Below are 21157 nucleotides of genomic sequence, written 5' to 3' on the forward strand. Positions count from 1 at the left end.
TCCCCCCATGCTATTCTCATGATAGTAAGTTCTCACGAGATCTGATGGTTTTATAAGTGGCTTCTCCTTTCACTCGGCTCTTACTCTTCTCCTTCCTGCCACCATGTAAAGAAGTATGTGTTTGCTTCCCCTTCCACCATGACTGTAAGTTTCCTGAGGCCTCCCCAGCCGTATGGAACTGTCAGTCAATCAAACATCTTTCCCTTATAATTTACCCAGTCTTGGGCAGTTCTTTATAGCAGCATGAGAATGGACTAAAAACATAGGAATTTTACACATCATTGTTCTCCGTTTTAACTCTGTTCAAGAGGGTTACTCAATATCTGTATTTCAAATTCTGTAAGTACTGTGGTGTGCAGCTGCATTTCACATCAAAATGAAAGAAGCCACCATCTCTCCTTGTCACCCAAGCTCAAAATGTTAGAATTATTTTTTATTCTCTTGCAACCCCAACCCCATTTAGCTATTTGTCCAGTCTTGTCAATCTCACCTCCAACACATCTCTCATGTTGACCCTCTCTTTTCCAGGCTGTCTGAAAAAATAAGAATGCAGATCACATGACCTTTTGCCTGTTATTACCATGGTGTCCTAAGTGGTTTTTCTAACATCCAGCTTCCCCTTATCTAGCACATTCTTTTTACAAAGTTTAGTCTTCCTAAAATACCTCACTGATCACACCACTTATCTGATCCAAAGTTTTTATAGGTTCCCTGTGGCGGAAAAGAGCTTATTATAGATTCAACACGTAGTCGGAGCTCAGAGAAATTAGGAATCTATAAGCCTCACATTATTTAATTCATACAATAATTCTGTGTCAGGAAAATACAAATGTTAACATATGTATTATTACTTAAGGTTGTAAACTGGATGTTTATGGAGGTGATAATTAACTTGCTATGACATCACTGAACTAGAGCTAATTAGTTCACCCTCCGTCAAAGGACTTTGGATACTCTTTTGAACACAGGTGAGGCAGAGTTGTGAAAAAAAGTGCTTAAAGGTAAAATGAACATATTTCAATAGATTAATATCAAATCAAAAAGCAGAACTTTCATTTGCCAACACAGCTCTTATGACACATCTCAAATCTAAACCATTTCCTAAATGCTCTCCTCTCATTCTTTTCAAACAGTATCATGATACCTTTGTACTTTCCTCTCCCAGATGTAAATTTTAAGGGAAACACAGAATTTTAAACTAACCCTATATATAGAAGAGAAAGCAGGGAAGGTCCACATATGTTAAGTTTGAGATTTTGGTTTCTGGTTTGACTTCTGGTTTTGCTTGCATATTTTTCTTCTGTTTTGCTTTTCAGTGAAATTTCTACTGCTATTAGATAGGTTATTTAAAATGTTATTATGCAGAATTAGAAGAAAATAAGAGAATGAAGGGAATAAAAAAACAAGAGACTGCTTGTGTAGGCACATGCCTAGACTGCTTGTGTAGGCTAATGTCTAGGAAAGGAAATGACTCAAGAAATTTGGATAAACTAGAAATGTAACAAAAGTAGATGTGACAATCTAGTTTAGTGGAATATGTTGCCTGAGGTCTCCTTTGGACTGTTCTTCTGGAACTATCAACAAAGATGCCTTCTCTTCTTTCTGGAATTATACATTATAAAGCCAATGTAAGCTTGAGCTGCATGCAGCTATTTTCCCTGATGGCACAGACCTAGCCCTCTTAAATTGGAGAAGATGAGACCATGCAGAGAAAATGAGGCCAGGGATGGAGGGAAAACCCCCAAAACATAAGATTTTTCAGTCAACTATGTGGACCAGTTTATCCCATTGACTTTTCAGTGTAATGAACTAAAAGTAGTTCAGTGTAATGAACTATTCTTTTACTTTTAAACTTAACCTGTTTTAAATTATTTTTCCGGATCCTGTAGTTGAAATAATTCTAATTAACACTGAAATAAAAAGACACTTGGGTGTTTATTACAATGGGTGTGTGTATGAATTGAGTAAATCAAAGAGAAATGAATTATTTTGAATATATTTTTCATTGCTGGACTATGTTCCATTAATAACAGCACTGCTCTGGGAATAGACCTTGCAGATTAATGTTTTAGTAAAGTTAGAAATTAGATATAGTCTAATTGTTAAAGCATAAAACTTTTATTTAACAAGAGTTGGGGTTGATTTCTGGCTCTCATTTATTTGTCCCATGGTGTCATGAAACTCCCTGAACTCTCCAAGGCACAGATCTCTAAAATATCAGATAAGTCCAGGAAGTTGCACTAGACAATGGCCAATATTTTATTGAAAAAGCCGCTCAATTATTATTTTTTTGCCTATTTCAAAGCATTTTTTTCTAACAAAATGTTAAAGAAATTTTGCCTTATTAGCCTATGAGGAGTTACTAACATGGGAGCGCTAACCATCTTTGAACTTTGTAACTCCTGTTTTATTATCCTGAAGTTCTCCCTACTTCTGAAACTAAGAAAAGCAAGGTTGGTTCTGTTCTCCATAATGGCCTCTGAAAATGCAAAGTTTCCCCATGACTATAAGTATTTGCTTTTCTGAGATCTCTAGATTAGTTGATGCTTGTAGCACTGATAATTCCTCATTCCTGGAAAATTTGGCTTTACCATTTCTACACCCATAACAAAAAGTATTAATTGTTTAGTGTAACAGTCTTCTGTGACTGGTCCCAACCTATCTTGCCAATCTCATGTATCACTGCTCTCCCTACTTTACATAAACTTGTGTAATCTCTGTTCACAGCACAAATCCCGGGCTGTCCCGATTGTCAGTTTTCATGATGTTCCGTCATTCAGAATATCCATTTATTCACATCTGTACACATAAGAGACTGGTCACTGGAATTTGACCTCCTAGTTAAAAATCCTGATGCTGTTATTATTTTTTCGTAATTTAACCTCTCTGTATCTCAGTTTACTCATTTGTACATGAGAATAATAATAGTCCTTCTTCAGAGGGTCCTTAGAATTGAGATAGATAATAAATTGCTGGCACCTAATTAACACTCGTTGTTAGCCATCATCATCATCATCGCTGTTATTATTCTCCAAGGCCTAGCACAATGTCTCACTTAAAAATTTTGCCTTTTTAAATGGAAAGAAAAAAAGCTTTTGTCTAAGAATCCTCATAGTTCTATCGTTCTTAGGCAGGGAAATCTTATTTGAAAAGATGGGTAAGAGGTATAAATTCAAAGATCTTTCAGCAAAGTAGCTCTCCACTCCTGTCACCCCTTTCTAAAGTAGAATATAACCTGTATAATAATTACAATAAATATATTTGACTTTCCCTTGTTTTTCTACTAGTTCAAACCATGGTGATCATAATCTTGGCTGCCCTTTGGACTCACATGCTGCCACTCAAATCTGTTAGTCTCAGGTGTTTTTATTTGTTGTTTTCATGTATCTTTTTTGTGGTCTGATGATTATTAATCTCATCTTTATGGCACAAAGAAAATTGAAAGAGAAGACTACAATCCAGTATTTTTAGTTCTCAACCAGATGCCTACCACTGCTATAAGTTGAGGGAGACATGGAAAGGAGTTATTCTATCTAAGAACTCCAAACATCAGGGTAGTGTCCAGGTGAACCAGAGTGAATCACAGAAAGCTCTGGTTGAGTTAGTGGCAGAAATTTTCTATTACCAAGGAATGCCATTCTTTTGTATCTCTTGTATACAAGTTAAGGGTTTTTCATAAACTCCTCATTTAAAAACCCTGTCCTAGGCCCTTAGCTGATCATGGCCCTCTAGATGCCATACTTCAAATGGCAAAGAAAAAGAGAAGATGAGTCCCAAGACCTAGGATTAGCCAAGCTTAAGGGAGGCACAGCTAGGCATTTCCAGGTGGGGTTAACCATCCCAAGCAGAACCTGGGTAGTTGTTTCCATAGCAACCAGCTGTGAGAAGCCAGAGCAATCTGAAACCTGTGAATTCCCAAACACTACATCTAAATGTTCATGCTGCGAAGACTTCATGGCTTCTATTCTCTTAAAATGAATCACTCTTTCATTTGATAAAAATTTATTAAAGGCAGAGTTACCATGCTAATAGGAGATAAAATAGTGAACAAAATAGACATGATGATATACATACTCACAGGGCATATATTTCAGGAAGGAGTTAGACAAGGAAGCTAGAATTTACTTTCAGAAGAGTGAATAGGGCTTTGACAAAGGTACATACAATGCGGTACAAATTGAGGACAGAAGGGGGTCAAATAGCAGAAGCAACCAACCACGCCAAGGAGGTTTAAGCAAAGCATTCTGGAGGAAATGCCATCTAAGTTGAAATCTACTGAGCACATAAATATTAACGCAGTTAACCTTGAAGGAAGAGTAAATTATGACATAGAACAGGGATAATATGATCAAAGATGCTCATATCCCTAAACATTCTACTTGTCACAAAATGGCCCTTTAGCCTTTCCCCACATTTTACAGTTTTACTAATCTCTGAAGCATTTATAATAAGAAACAGAGTAGGGATTAACATTTTTGCCTGAAGTACAATAGAACTTTGGAGTTAAATTAGCTGATATAATTTTACAAGCCATATCATAGATTTTTAGGTCAAAGACTAAACCCACTCACCAACATTTCAAGAAGAAATAAATGAAGAAAAAATGTTTGCCAATAGGATAGTGGATTCATATGTGTTTGAACAGGACTGTTAATAAACTGTAGATGTTCTCTCATTTGATAAGAGCTTGTGGCTCTGTGTAGTAGAGCTGTGACTCTACTATAAGTTACCTAGTTCAACCCAATGAGTCAGAAAGGCTGGTAAATACTGGATAGTCAGGGATAGTGATGACCTTCATTTTTCTTACCTGATATGACCATAATGGGATTTCCACTATAGTAAGCTCCTTGGCTTGTTTTCAACATATAACACACCCCCTGCCAAAAGATACACACACACACATACCTACAAACACACACAAAATTCTCATAGTAGAAGAAATAACAAATGACTCTGTCGTGGTGAGTTGAGAAAAACAGCTATGTTCAGCCCAGTCAATTTTTCACTCCTTAAGGAGAGTACATTCTAGTCTTCTTGGGACCATGTGGCAATTTCCCTGCCCCTATGAACCATGACTGAGGTGGCCTAGCTGTCTCCATGATGCAGCCCAGGAAATAGGGGGAAGGAACTATCAACAAAGGGATACAGAGAAGGGAACAGGGGTATGCACTTTTCTTGGGAGCTCAAACAGGTTATGAACAACTGACCTAGAAACCACTGCAGATTTATTCTGTGGCAGTCTTGTAAACCTTACAAATGCTAGCAAAAGATGAGTTACAGAAGGAAATTTGTGAATAGCTTAAATTTTGAAACTTTAAACAGAAAAACCTTGGGAAAATTTCTGGAGCATCAGATGCTTTCTAAATTTAGAGGTTGTTTCTAGTCGTCCTTAGCAGAATAAATTTCCATTCATTTTTACAATAAATATCTATTTTAATATTTATTATTTTTCCTTTTGTGTTTCTATCGTCTGCCAGATATTGTCTTAGGTATTGGAGATAAAGCAATAAACAGATAAAAATCTTCATACATGTATGTGTAGGCATAGATAAGTGTGTACACATAGTGTTAGTGATGAGTGCTAAAGAGACAAAAATAATATGGAGAAGGGGATTATAAAGTGCTGGAGATGGGGTGTGTTACTGGGAATGTGGATCTACAGTTCTTGTCTTCTTGGTGAAAAGAATTAAAGCAAGAGAAACACAGCAATAAAGATATCAGTGCAAGGCAGTTTATTGAAAAAGCAAAAGTACACTCTGAAAGCCAAGTCAGAACAGGACATTTGAAGATGAGATGATAGTGACTGACACTGGGGAAAATTCCCTTTATGGGAGTCTTACATGATTATTCACCAAGTGGGAGAAAGAGGTGTTACTAATAAGCATGTTCTGGGTGGTCCTCTGGGTGCACATGTGCTGTAGCTGTACATGGCAGTACATATATTGTATGTTCCATTCTTATCTTTAATCTCCACACAGGGGTGTGTTTTTTTACTATTACCATGAGTGAAAGGTCACTCTTAGAACAAGCAAAAGTTCAGGTATTTCTTCATAGCAATGCAAGAACAGACTAACACAGAAAATTGGTACCAGAAGTGAAGTACTGCTATAAAGATATTTGAAAATGTGAAAGCAGCTTTGGAACTGAGTAATGGCAGAGCCATTGCACTCCAGCCTGAGCAACAAGAGTGAAACTCCATCTCAAAAAAAAAAAAAAAAAAAAAAAAAAGCATGTGGTACCTCCCTCATCTCTTCTTCCAGCTTCAGCCATGTAAGATATGCCTGCTTCCCCTTCACCTTCCGTCATAACTGAAAGTTTCCGAAGGCCTCCCCAGAAGTCCTATGCTTCCTGAACAGCCTGCAGAACTGTGAGCCAATTAAAACTCTTTTCTTTATAAATTATACAGTCTTGGGTATTTCTTTATAGTGATGCAAGAATGGACTAATACATTGCCTGACTTACCTATTTATTTGGCTCTGGGTAAAAGTATTGAGTGATGTCTAGTTTCTATTTCAAATGAACATGCACAAGGAGCATCTTCAATCTGGGAATAGAAGTAGGATGTAGGGAAGGCTTGTCACACAAGAAAGGAAGATAAATACAGGTCAAAAATTCACCAGTTTCTAATCTGGTCAAGTTCTATCCCTGTACATATAATTACTAACACATTTTTTCATTGGATATCTCTAAGTTATGCTAAATAGCCCTTTTCTGTGTCCTAGTATTTCTTTTTACATGAAATTCTAGAAAGTGCACCTCTATATCCTATTTTCCACAGGCATATGCCTCTGTTTATTTACTGCCAATGTATTTGTTTGCTAAGTAGAAAGAGTCATGATGATGGCTTCCAGCTTTGCTTTATGTGCAGCTTCAATTATCAATTGCAGCTGGTGGAAAGCACCTCTTACACTCCCCCATCCATTTTTTCCAAGCAAAACTTGTAAATTTTAGCTCTCTTACTATCAAATATACTAAAATGATTACTTCTTTTTTATGTCTGCCTTTGCATTCACAGCAATTTCTTAACCTCTTTTGTAAATTTGCCAGAATGTTAATTGCATTTGAAAGGGCAAGCAAACTAAAATGTATGAAACAGTATACCAAAAATAGACATTTGAGGAAAGAGAAAAGTAAAATGAAACAAAAAGAGGAACATGTAAGGCTCATTTTAAAAAAAATCCAATTATCATATTATAATATGGGTAAAAAACTTCAGTTGTCTGCAGAAGAATTTTAAAAATTACACCACATTCTTAAAATTCTTAAAGTTAACACTTTTAAAGTAGTTCTCTATCTAGTTGGTTTAAATCCTGATAATTTAGTGTTAATACCAGAACAATTAACGAGATAAGTTACTCAGTTTTGGAGAGTCTGAAAAAAATTTCCTAAGAAATTTTAGTTAATTCCTAAATTCTTAAAATTTTATTATGTAAATCTTCCCTGGGATTTTGTTTTACATTTCATATCTTCTACATAATAAATTTTATAATATTCAGTTTGATGTGTAAAGAAAATATTGAGGAATACACGCAAGTTCATGGAAAAAAATGAATGTTAAAAAACCATCAACAACCATCTTTCTCTTTTTAAAACAGAAAGGTGTTGAATCAGAGTAGATACAGGTCCTACATGATTCATAATAGAATAACTCATTTATAACAAAACATCTAATATAAAACAGCAGAAAAATTTAAAAATATCAAATCTTCATTCCAAGCTGAAAAGATATATTTGCCTAAGAGTAAGCATTCTTTAGAGTTGGTTTGAAACTTAACATCTGAATGAGAATATAACTTGGCTATAAAGACGCATTCCAACTTTTATATCTTGTGAGCTAAGAAAACCTAATTCTAGATAACCTTCCAAGAGCTCAAAGTAAAAGCCAAGTAACATTTGTAATTATTTTAAGTCATGTTATACTAGTTCTTGTAATTTAAGCAAAATCTGATATCCTTAAAAATCACTCAATTATTCATCATTAGTCATTTCTCATTTTATATTTGAAGGGATGAGCCCTTAACGATCTTCACATTTGTAATAATATGAATTTTTAAGTTATTGCTGTGATTGGAAGCTCTTAAACTAGTAAGCAAGTCTTTTAGGATCCCATTTTATCAATTAAGATTTTGTGTTTGAAAATGACATAAGAATCAACCCAAAGTGGATGAACAAAAACAGTTCAGATAAAGCTTCATACAGTTTTATCTAAGACTCAAATTAGGTGTGGTAGCTAGCCATAAAGATGACCCCAAATACTTCTAGCCTCCCAGCATTTATGCCCACCCATAATGAATCAGGGAATATTTGCATCATCAAAAGAATACTACAGAAATTCCCATGCGGAAGTTTCAAGGCAGCTCATAAAAGACACAACACCTCCCACACTGGCCTGTGGATAACACTTTGAGAGAAGCCTGCCACTATATTGTGAGAGTACTAAAGCAGTCTTCTGGAGAGAACCACCTAGAGGAAAACTTACACCTCTTGACAATAGCCAGCTTCAACTTGCCATCCACGTGAATGATCCTGCCTGGAGGCTCAGTAGATCCTCAAATGGCTGCAACCCTAGCCAACTTATGACATTACTACTACAGGAATCTCATGAGGCCCATAGCCAAAACATCCCAGCAAGCTGCTCATTAATCCTTACCCACAGAAACTGTGACAAATAATCAATTATACTGTCATTCTGTTTTCAGATAATATATTAGGTAACCATAGATAAATAGCAAACTCTGCTACCAAGTACAAGTCTTTGTACATTTCTTGATTCTGTGTCTTCATGTTAGTGGAAATCTCAGGCCACAAAAAATCTCAGGATATCTTCTAACAACTTGAGAGTGGTGGGACTTAAAATTAGAGAGGTTGTGAGGGGCCATAAAGAGCATTGTAAGGATGAGAGTGATAGAGATGGTGAGAAGTGGTCAGAGTCACACATTTACTACTTGTGATATCTTCAGCAAGTTACTAAACTCTCAATCAGTTTTCCTAAGTGTAAACTTGAAACAGTAATATCTTCCTCACAGTGTATTATAGTAGCCCCCTCTTATCCATGGGGGATAGATTCCTAGATCTCCAGTGACTGCCTGAAACTTCAGACAGTACTGAACACCATTTACACTATATTTTTCCTTTTTAAATCAAAAACGTTCACCTTTTCACTTAAAGGAAGCACTTTATATCTACTCTTTGGCATATCCAAGCTGCCAGCTTCACTACTCTTATGCTTTATGGCCATTAAGTTAAATAAGGGTTCCTTGAACACAAACGCTGTAATACTGCCACAGTCAATAAGATAACTGAGATGGCTACCAAGGGACTCACAGGCAGGTAACGCAGATAACATGAATACAGTGGACAATGGGATGATTTATATCCTGGGTGGGATGGAGTGGAACAGCACGAGATTTCATCATGCTACTCTCAGAACAACACACAATTTAAAACTTATAAATTATTTCTGTAATTTTTCATTTAATATCTTTGGACTGTGGATGACCTTGGGTAGCCGAAACTGCAGAAAGTGAAACTGAAAATAAAGAGGGACTAGTATATACAGTGTTATATAAAAGGAGAATAGAAACACCTCTACTCCTACTCACACCTCACTCTCTAATACTCACAATGTATGAGTAGAAAAACACATGTGGAGGACAGGGAAAACAGAACTTTGAAACTGTAGATCACAGGATGAAGAGGACTGGATAAACATTTAGCTAATCTTGTTTGTATATGTGAATACTTTAAAGTTAGAAAAATAATAGAACATTGTGGATAGAAGGAAATGAGATCTCTTCACTTTATTGAAATTTTACATTGGAGTAACTATAGCATAAATGAAAATTAGGTTAACCTATAGACCCATAAAAATAAAAACATGTCAATACATTTTCATGACAGCCGCTATATCATTGGTGATTGAAGTCTCCAGTCTTTACTAGTATAATTCACAGCCTTACAAAATGCAGAAGTCAGTGTTGGTCTAGAAAACCAAACAAAATTCCTGAAACAGAGGATCAGAGGTAAAGCCATGAGGATCTCCTGGTTTAAATAAGTATTGTTGCTTTCAACAGGATAAAATCTGGATCTTAAGTAGGTGCCAAAGGCCTCCAGCTTTAGGGAGAAGAGTGATATTAGAAATAAGATGGAGCTAGAGCCTGGCACTGAACTCTGAATGTTTTCCAATATATTTATTTGCCAACAATTTTGAGTTATGAAAAATTAAGGAAATTATGAAAGTTTAAAAAATAGAAGCAATACTTTTCAAAATATTCTTTATGAGAACTAATCCATTTATTACATTCTGATCCATTTGCTATGGTTTAACTGATTTGGTGTGTAGTGAGCAAGGTTTGCAAGCCATTGTCATCTGCCCTTCAGAAATTTGTAGCCTTCCCTACTTCTCCAAATACAAAAACCCAGATTCAAATAGAAATATACACCAAATAATGCAAAACATCATCCAAAATATTTATACAACAAAAACAAGGACAACACATGGAAAGATATGCAAAATCTCTTTAAAATAATTTTCAAAAGCTGGGTAAAAAGATGAAATAAAAATAATATAATCCTAAATTTACAGATGAAATTAGCATGGCTAAATGTGGACAGTTACTTACTTTTATGCTGTTACTGTTTCATGTGTTGCTTTTTTGTCTAATGTATGTATATCTGATCCATCTTCATCTTCCATAGAAGATGTAATAAAAGCACTGTGTTATATCTACACTGTAAGTTTGTTTAAAGGTGCATTTTCACAGCCAAAATAGTATAATACCTGCAGACTTCTGAAATAAGAAATGATTGTCATGAAGAATCTAACATGTTGATTTCATCACAAACTGTCCAATACAGTGACCACTTGCTACTTGTGGTTCTCAAGCACTTGAAATGTGCTAGTCCAAACTACGATGCGTTACGGGGAAAAATGCACATAAGATTTCAAAGACTTAATATAAATTATGAGAGTCATATTTCTCAGTAATAATTTTATATTGATTATATGTCTTGAAATACTTTGTGCCTGGTGTAAACTACCACATTAAAATAATTTTCACTCATTGTATTCTTTTAATGTGACTATTAGAATATTTTAAACTAAGTATGTGAATCACTTTTGTTACTCTCATTAGCTTCCATCAGATAGCATCATCGTAGTGGTTTGTCCCAGCATTTTCACAAGCATGATAGATTTTCAGTAGTTTAAAAGTTTAAAAGACAAAAATACATTTTAATCTACTAAGAAATGACTTTTTCTCTCTGGCTTTCTAAGCTGGGATTAACTTGAGGATGTAATAAAAGGAAATCTATTCAGATTTATTCCTTGAATTTCTTCAGACTGTGACATTTGGCATCAAAAAGAGGGACAGCATCAATAGAAGTGGGCTGGCCAGTTAATTTACTACTCCAGACAGGTTAGGGGTTGATCACTACTTGTTTATGCCACGGGTTTATCTATGGAAGACGCCTGTTTCTGAGCAGTAGTATCTCTCCACTAGTGTGCATTCCACTTTTCCCTGCTTAATATATGGATAAAGGAAATTCCCAACCCATACAAGCCTCTGAGTGCCTCTGAAGCCCCTTCTTGTCTCCCATCAGCCATGTATGCTATGACATATTTGGTGAACACAATTCTCCATGCCCAGCCCGCAATAAGTGTCAGAATTCTGCTTGTCAACACTGAGGACTCTCCTGAACCCAAATGTCTTGGAGCTTGCCACCACTTCTGCACCTTTCAGGCACACACATTCATCTCTCAGGAGTCAGGTACCCTATAAAGCACCAAACTACCTTCAGCACCGGATTCTAAGCAGATGTCTATAAATGGTAATGTGTTTTCTAATTCCAATGTCCTAGAATTTCAATTATATTTCCAATCTTCAATATTTATCTCAAAAAAGAGAACTCCAGAAATGCATGTTTTCTGTTTTACATTTAATCACCTCTATGATAACTCATTTGCATAAATTTGAGATCCATTTTTTTTTTTTTTTTAAAGCATGCTTTGTGACCTAAATGTTGAGCATATGGCATGTAATTTCATGAAGGAAATTGCTTGGTTTTTCAAATTCTCATTTCAGCATTTCCCTTGAGTTATCATATCAGCAGTTCCTGACAGTAAAATAAATATATCACTGTGTTTTAACAAAGCAAAAGTGATGCTGCCACTCTTGGTTCATGAAACCTTTAAAAAACAAGGCACAAAAATTTATAGAAAACACTGACTTCTTCAATGGTGAAGTGCTCTATCTCTTTCATGTTTGACTATAAAGTACTGTGGCATTTTATCAAAATATCTTACAAGACTAAACTGAGAAATATACTAAATTTTTCCTTTATAAAAAAAGTATAAAAGGCAAACAAAATAAAAATGTTTCACAAGTTCAATTTGTCCAGCTCCTTTTAATAAAGAATAAGTCACTGATAGAAAAATGAGCAAGATTGCCACAAATAGCCTGTCAGTTCACGATATATTGCATCAGTGAAAAAATCCCAAACTGTATAAAGAGCAAAAAGAAATTGGTGAAACCTCAGTGGATTTACTTTAAGAACACCAGACAGCAACTGGGGATATTTAAGCTATTTGAAGAAATGGAAAAAGAAAGGGATTTTTTGGCCAAAGAGATAATTTTTTTCTAAATATCATATTTTACAAATAAATTCAAATAAAATTTTTAAATGGAATTTAATAGCATGAGAATATTTTAAGATGATAAAAGAGACAGAGCCCTCAGAAATAACGCCGCATATCTACAACTATCTGATCTTTGACAAACCTGAGAAAAACAAGCAATGGGGAAAGGATTCCCTATTTAATAAACGGTGCTGGGAAAACTGGCTAGCCATATGTAGAAAGCTGAAACTGGATCCCTTCCTTACACCTTATACAAAAATCAATTCAAGATGTATTAAAGACTTAAACGTTAGACCTAAAACCATAAAAACCCTAGAAGAAAACCTAGGCATTACTATTCAGGACATAGGCATGGGCAAGGACTTCATGTCTAAAACACCAAAAGCAATGGCAACCACAGCCAAAATTGACAAATGGGATCTAATTCAACTAAAGAGCTTCTGCACAGCAAAAGAAACTACCATCAGAGTGAAAAGGCAACCCAGAAAATGGGAGAAAATTTTCGCAACCTACTCATCTGACAAAGGGCTAATATCCAGAATCTACAATGAACTCAAACAAATTTACAAGAGGCAACTAATACAATTAATATTATAAAATACTGAGTAAATATATTTCATATTATATTTTTAAAAGGGCTAAAAGGATAGATAACTAAAGCATTGGTTTCATGTGTTCTAGAATACTTTCAAATAAGCTTATACAAGGAAATAGTTACTAGCATAGTACGTAAAGCCAATAATTATAAAATCTATATTTGCTACACTCTAAACGCAATATCTGAGTTATTCCTCAGAAACCAAAACATTGTTCCTGTTTTGTTAGGAAGAAACCCTACATATAAAGGTTAAGTGACTCTTTCAAAGTCCACCCAACTAATATAAGTGACAGAACTCAGATTTAAACTTAAGAATTAAAGGTCCATAGCTCAAATTCTTTAGCACCATTACGTACTGATGAATATTCCATGCCTGGATAACTTAAAACTAACTTAAAAAAAAATTGTCAGGAAAAATGATCTCTAGAGTAGGGATTTTAGAGGAAGCCACATTCTTAGAAAACTATCTGATATAAACCAAAACTTTCACATATTAGTACACTTGCCCATGGAATTTAATGATTTAGGCCAAAGGTGATTTTTTATTAGAAACATTTTGTTCAAAATTCAGTGGAGACTCTCTCATCCTTAAAAGATCTTAAACTCAATAAAGTACTAGTTGAAATATTCAGACATCATTCCAAAGAGAAATTTTATTTCTTTAGCTTTTCTTAAAGTGGAATTTTGTTGCATATAATTGGGCTACTACTAATCATGTGTTTTAGTCCATTTTATTTGTTGATTGATGTGGTAGGCAGAATTCTAAAATGGCCCCTAAAATTTCCTGCCCTTCTGGTATATGTGCCCTACAGTAATTAACTGGAGCTGTGAATTTGATGGTTTTTACTCCTGTGATTAGGTTATGTGAATATGGCACAGACAACCTTGAGACAGGAGATTATCCAGGTACGCCTTAACTAAATATATGAGCTCTTTAAATATCGAACTTTTTTCCAGCTGGTTGCAGAAGAGAAAGTAAAAGAGTCAAAGACTGAAAAGGCTTTGTGAGGACTAGGATGCCAAGGGCGGGAGCCTGAGTCTGTTTTATCTTGGCGAAGGCTTCCCTCATTTCTGGGGTCCACGCCATTGACTCATTTCCTGGCTCCCTTGTTGTTTAATAAAGAGGTTTTGCTATGAGCCCAAAATTTGGTACCCATATTCTACAGAACCTAGCCACTTCCAGAAAGGAACAAAACTGTTGCTTGGGGGTGGGGGGTCCCAAACCACATACAGCTTGCACCCGTTCTGGGGATACCTGCCAGTCTCTGGGATTTGGGGAATTTGATATTCCCCAAATATTGAACCCATTGGGGTGCAATTTGAGCCTTCTTTTTGAACACTTTGTATCCCTGATTGGCCAAAAAATTCAAGGTCCTTATAGTATTTTTATCAGATATCTCCTGGGTTGGGCTACACACAAGAAGGTCATCTACATACTGGAGTATACTCTTGTTTTTCTAACTGAAGATCCTTCAGATCCCTTTTTAAGGCCTGGGGGAAAAAAAATCGGGGCTGTCCTGAAATATCTGTGGGAGTACTGTCCAGTGTATTGTTCTTTTTCTTTCTCTGCCATTAGAATATTCCCATTCAAATGCAAAAAGATATTGAGACTCTAGTGCCAGAGGAATGCAGAAAAAGACATTCTTTAAGACTGAAAACAATTCTGTGTTCCCAGCACCTGAGTCAAAAGAATATGCAAGTCTGCCACCAATGGGTGGACAGAGATCACTGCTTTATTAATTATCCTGAGATCCTGTACCATACAGTATTCTCCTGAAGGTTTCAAAAACGGGCAGAATAGGGGTATTGCAGGGAGAATTACAGGGTTTTAGAAGTCCATGGGCAAGCAACTCCTTAACTATTTATGCTAGGCCCTTTCTTGCTTCCAGCTTAATTGGGTATTGTTTTTAGTTTGGAAAATGATTGGGGTCTTTGAGTTGTATTTTGACTGGCACTACTGTCCTAGGCCCTTCCAGGCCTCCTAGTATACCATGCTAGTGGGTTGACCCATTTGTTGACATGGCCTGGAACACTGTTTGCATCACTGACCATTAGCAATCTTGCCAGGTTGTGCTTAAATTTTAGCAGTGCCCCTATTTTAACCATAATATCCCTTCCCAACAGGGGGACTGGTCAGCTTGGTACTGTTAGAAACTCCTGCTGCAAAATTTGTTTTTCAAATTGGCAAATTAAATGTGGGATGAAATGCCTGATTTTATTTTTCTCTTCCATTCCTAAAATAGTTGTGGTCCTAGTGGAAGATTTTCCTGCATACGCAGTAAGGAGAGGGTAACTTGCCCCTGTATTAAAAAGAAACTGAATTTGTGTACCCATCACATCAAGTTACCCGGGGCTCCTCAATAGTAATGATGATGTTCCTGGACAGGGGTGATGAGGAAAGCCCTAGGCCCCTTCAGTAGTCATCTACGTTCTCCTTTTGCACTATGAGAGTCTTGACTGAGCCCCTCAGTGGGAGTGGGGGTAGTCAATTATCCAGTGCTAGGGGTCATGACTGGTAGGAGCAAAGGCTCTTGCAGGGGCCTGGCAGGGGCTTAGTATAATCCTTTGCCTAATGTCTTTTTTTTTTCTTGCATTTAAAGCAAGAGCCTTTGCTGACATTTTTCTTATGGCCCTTTAGATGCTCTCTAGGCATTTCCAGTGATGGCTACCATAATTTTAGCTTGCTGTTTTTCTTTACGCTCTTCCCTTTTTCCCTGCTCCAGGTCAACATACCCTAAAGGTGGTATCAAGAAGCTGATTTGGGTTAGTTTGTGGTTCCATTTGCAATTTTTGGAGTTTGTGCCTGATGTCCAGGGCAGACTAGCTAATAAAATGCTGGACCATTAGCCTCATGCCCTCAGGAGAGGAAGGGTCTAAATTTGCATATTTTCTGAAGGCCTCTTCTAACCTGCTATAAAACATAGCTGAATTTTCTTCCTTCCCTTGTGTGACTTCCCTGACCTTATCATAATTTACACTCTTGGTTATCCCCTTTTTCATACCTCCAAGGAGTACCTCAAGAAATTTGTTTTCCTATTCATTTGCACAGGGGTATTACAATCCCAATTAGGACCAGTGGTAGGCACTGCGTCTGGGCCTGAGTGACTGCCCTGGGGATTTTGGGCAAACATATCATCTGTCTCATGGGGGCTAGTCTCAAAAATCCTTTCCTTTTTCACAGGAGTGAAGCAGATTGCTAAAATAAATTGGACATCTCTCCATGATGAGTCAAAGGCCCAACTAAGGTTTGGAACCCATCTGCAAACCTGTCACGGTCCTCAGAGCACCTTCTCAACTTTTCCTTACATTATTGGATATCAGTTATGGAAGATGGGACTTGTGCTCAAACTGGCCCTTCTACTCCTGCTACTTCCCTGAGATGTAATAGTGCCAGAGGAGCTGCTGAGCAGGGTGTTCCACTCCAGGTTTGTTGGGGGCTTAATATAGTTCTTTTCTTTTCTGGCTGGCATTGCATGTTTGGAGCATTTGACAAGGGGTTATATGGGGGGTGGCTGTAGATTGCCCTGAGAGACAAGTTGTCCTTATAAGAGGGGCATCATCCACAATGTCTGGCTCAGTCTTTTTAAGGGCAAGTCTTAGAAGCTTTACAGATTGAAGGATTCTGAAAGGTGTTTCCCATAGTGATCTGGCCTAAAGAGGGCCCATCTGTTGCAGACATCTCTGTCCTTAGGGTGTCAGGCGGCGTCCCCGACCGTGGGGTGGGCATCAGTGCTGTTTTGGATGTTCTGTCTCCATAGGCAATGGAATGGTCTACTCTGAGCTTTACAGATTAAAGGATTCTGAAAGGTGTTTCCCATAGTGGTCTGGCCTAAGGAAGGCCTATTTGTTGCAGGCATCCCTGACCCTAAGGTGTCAGACATACCTGTGGATGTTTTCCCGCTATAGGCGATGGAACGGTCTATGATTCCCTTAGTCCCGAGATGCAGTGCTCAGCTTTTTGCGTCCCGCCAAGTGAAATAAACTTCAGCCTGTAACACTCGTGAAACAGGGACCTTGCAATGTACCTTAAAACTATTCACAATAAAGTTCGGGACTTATCCCTACAATTAAAAATTCCGGGTTCTCATGCTAAAATAATTCATACATAAAAGTGAAATCTTTTTTCCTACTCTGAGAAATGGAATATAAAGTAATTCGGCATGACCACTTCCCCACAAATCAATAAAACATCGAAATCAGAAAATGAAGGGTCTAACCTCCTCAAAAACATTTTGCCATACATACAAAAACCTGTCACATGGATTTGTCTTGAACTCAGCAAGACCTAAATATCCTGTTCTATGACCTAGTTATCCTGTCTTGGGAGACTTTAAGCAGCAGGTGCCCTAGTGGCTTTTAACTGCCCGACCCCTGCATGCAGATGACGGCTTTGACAAAGAAAGAGAAGAAAAAATAAATCCCAAAGTTTGGGCTTACCTCTTGGCTGGCTCTCCAAAATGTTACCAGAGTTGTGCAGGTTCTTGGGTGTTGAGCAAAGAATTGAACAAAATGAGCAAACAAGGTAACAAAAAAAATGAAGCAACGAAAAACAAAGCAACAGAAGAAAGAAGTAATGAAAGCACAGATGTATTGAAGACAACGCACAAAACAAGAGTAAGCTCGAGCAAGCGGCTCAAAATCTTCTTCCGTTAGGATTTTTTATTAAGCTGAAGGAACCCAGCAACACCCCTCGGTGCCCTTTAGAGGTCTCCAATTGGCTACACCCCATGAAGGACTGGCCTGTGACCAATCAGAGGCTGCAATGGAGGCCCAGCCCAGCAGCCAATCAGAGGTGAAAGTGGTTTGTTATCATGAGAGAGAGGATGTGTCCTATATGCTTCACCTGCTACTCTCCTACCTATACGAACTGGCTTCACCTGCTGTTCTTTTGCTTATGCAAACTGTCTGCACCTGCTGAATCCCCGTTACACTAATTTCCTAGTCTCCTGCTACACTGCCCCCTCTTCAATATCCCAGATGTTATTATTTCTTACTTTTAAAATTCATGATATAAATTTTAGATGTCTATATATGTTTATGTATTTTATATATGTCAAAATTTTATTTAGACATATATAGACATACACATAGATGTCTATATATATAGACACATATACAGACATCTATGTGTATATATGTATATATGTATGTATATATATAGACATCTATGTATATATATAGACATCTGTATGTCTATATATGTCTAAATAAAATTTTGATGTCTATATATCAAAATATGTCTAAATAAAATTTTGTTTACAATAAACTGTTCAGTCTTGATTTACTTTAAACTTTATAAAATGGGTATTATTATGATTGAACTTTTCCAAGAATTCCTATTTTCACTGAAAACTGCATTGCTAAAATTCATTTATATGTTGACTTTTATGCTTTCAGCTTATATTTTAGATAAAAGGGATACCTGTGCAGGTTTGTTACATGGGTATATTGTGTGATGCTGAGGTTTGGGGTATGACTGATCTCATTAACCAGATAGTAAGCACAGTACCCAATAGTTATTCAACACTTACCTCCCTCCACCACTCCCTCTCCTCTCTAGTAGTCTCGTCTATTGTTGCCATCTTTATGCCCATGAGTACCCAATGTTTAGCTCTCACTTATAAGTGAGAACATGCAGTATTTGGTTGCCTGTTCCAATGTTAATTCACTTAGGATAATGGCCTCCAGCTGCATCTATGTTGATGCAAAGGACATTAACTTATTTCTTTTTAATGGCTATGTAGTATTCCATGGTGTATACTTATCACATTTTCTTTATCCAATCCACCATTGATAGGCACCTAGGTCGATTTCATGCATTTGCTACTGTGAACAAAGCTGTGATGAACATAATGGTACAAGTGTCTTTTTGGTAGAACAGTATATATTCTTTTGGATATATGCCGAGTAATGGGACTGCTGGGTTAATTGGTAGTTCTGTTTTAAGTTATTTGAGAAATCTTCAAACTGCTTTCCACAGTGGCTGAACTAATTTAAATTCCCACTAACATTGTGTAAGTGTTTTATCTGCGGCCTCACCAGCACTGTTATTTTTTGACTTTTTAACCACAGCCATCCTGACTGGTGTGAGATGGTATGTCATTATGGTTTCGATTTGCATTTCTCTGACGATTAGTGATGCTGAGTATTTTTTTTCATATATTCTTTGGCCACTTGTATCTTCTTTTGAGAAATGTCTCCTCATATTGTTTGCCCACATTTTAATGGGGTTGTTTTTTGCTTATTAAATTGTTTGAGCTACTTATAGATTCTAGATATTAGACTTTCGTCAGATGCATATTTTGTGAATATTCTCTCCCATTCATATGTTGTCTGTTTACTCTGTTGATAGTTTCTTTTGCTATGCAGAAGCTCTTTAAGTCCCACTTGTCAATTTTTTGTTACAATTGCTTTAGAGGACTTACTCAATTACTCAATTACTAAATTCTTTCCCAAGGCTGATGTCCAGAATCGTGTTCCCTAGGTTTGCTTCTAGGATTTTTATAATTTTAGGCCTTACATTTAAGTTTTTGATCCATCTTGAGTTAATTTTTGTTTATGTTCAAAGATAGGGGTTCAGTTTTATCCTTCTGCATATGGCTAGACAGCTATCCCAGCACGATTTATTGAATAGACAGTCCTTTCCCCATTGCTTATTCTTGTCAATTCTTTCAAAGATCAGATGGCTGTAAGTATGCAGCTTTATTTCTCTGTTCCCCATTCTGTTCCATTGGTCTGTGTGTCTGTACCAGTACTATGCTGTTTTGGTTAGCGTAGCCTTATAGTGTAGTTTGAAGTCAGGTATTGTGATGCTTTTAAAGGATTTACTCTTTTTGCTTAGGATTTCTTTGCCTATTTGCACTTTTTTTTTGGTTTCATATGAATTTTAGAATCATTTTTCTAAGTTTCTGGCTAAAATTCATTTATATGAATTAAGTCATACCTTATCATTCCATTTCATGATCATATCAGAATGTATTTATTTTTATTGATCATTTATATTTGATTTTATTTCCTTCTCTCTTTTTTTTTTTTCTATTTAAAAATTACATTGGGCTAGGCGCGGTGGCTCACGCCTGTAATCCCAACACTTTGGGATGCCGAGGCGGGTGGATCACCTGAGGTCAGTAGTTCAAGACCAGCCTGGCCAACATGGTGAAACCCCATCTCTACTAAAAATACAAAAATTACCTGAAGGTGGTGGCACACATCTTTGTAATCCCAGCTACTCCAGAGGCTAAGGCAGGAGAATCGCTTGAACCAGGTAGGCAGAGGTAGCAGTGAGCCAAGGTCATGCCACTGCACTGCAGCCTGGGCAACAGACAAGACTCTCTTTCAAAAAAAAGAAAAATGACATGCACAAGCATGTCTCCAAGTGCACATGTACAAAAGTTTGTCTTGGACATACCTAGGAAAGGAGTTGCTAAGTTGTAGGAAATACGAATGGTCAAGTATAAGACACTTCCAAACTATTTTCAAAAGTGATTGTACAAATTTACTTTCCCACCAGCAACAGTAGGAAACTTCCCCATTTTCTCTAACGTTTAGTATTGTTGAACTTGTTAATCTTTGCCAATAGAATGTCATCTGTTTTTCACCTGTTTTGTATTTACATTATTAATGAGGTTTTGAGTCGCATATGACTTTTGGCCAAATATGTTTTCTTTTCTTTGAAATACCTTTTCATGATTTTTCTCACTTTTCTCATGATTGCTGTTATTCTTCATTGATTTTAAACTTCTAACAGTCCTCATAATAATGTAACATCAGCTAATGCTGCATATTCTCACACTTTCTGTCTTTTCGTTTTCTTTAAAGTCTCTTTTTATGGCAAAAGTTCTTAATTTAAAATGTCAAAGTGTCTATGTTATAGTGATTTTTCCATTTGCATCTTAGGAATTCTTTCTGACCCAAGATCAGAA

General features: G+C 36.7%; 1 long non-coding RNA gene across 1 annotated transcript in view; it reads right to left on the reverse strand.

The window, feature by feature from the left end:
- LOC105369881 (uncharacterized) overlaps positions 1–17870 on the reverse strand; it is a 58306-nt gene extending 40436 nt beyond the window's left edge. The window contains exon 1 of the long non-coding RNA XR_945161.2: positions 17673–17870. This is a non-coding gene — a long non-coding RNA (uncharacterized LOC105369881). The remainder of the gene's footprint in view (positions 1–17672) is intronic.
- Positions 17871–21157: the final 3287 nt, after the last annotated feature.

Source organism: Homo sapiens, chromosome 12 (assembly GCF_000001405.40).
Source record: "Homo sapiens chromosome 12, GRCh38.p14 Primary Assembly".
NCBI classification, from domain to species: Eukaryota; Metazoa; Chordata; class Mammalia; order Primates; family Hominidae; genus Homo; species Homo sapiens.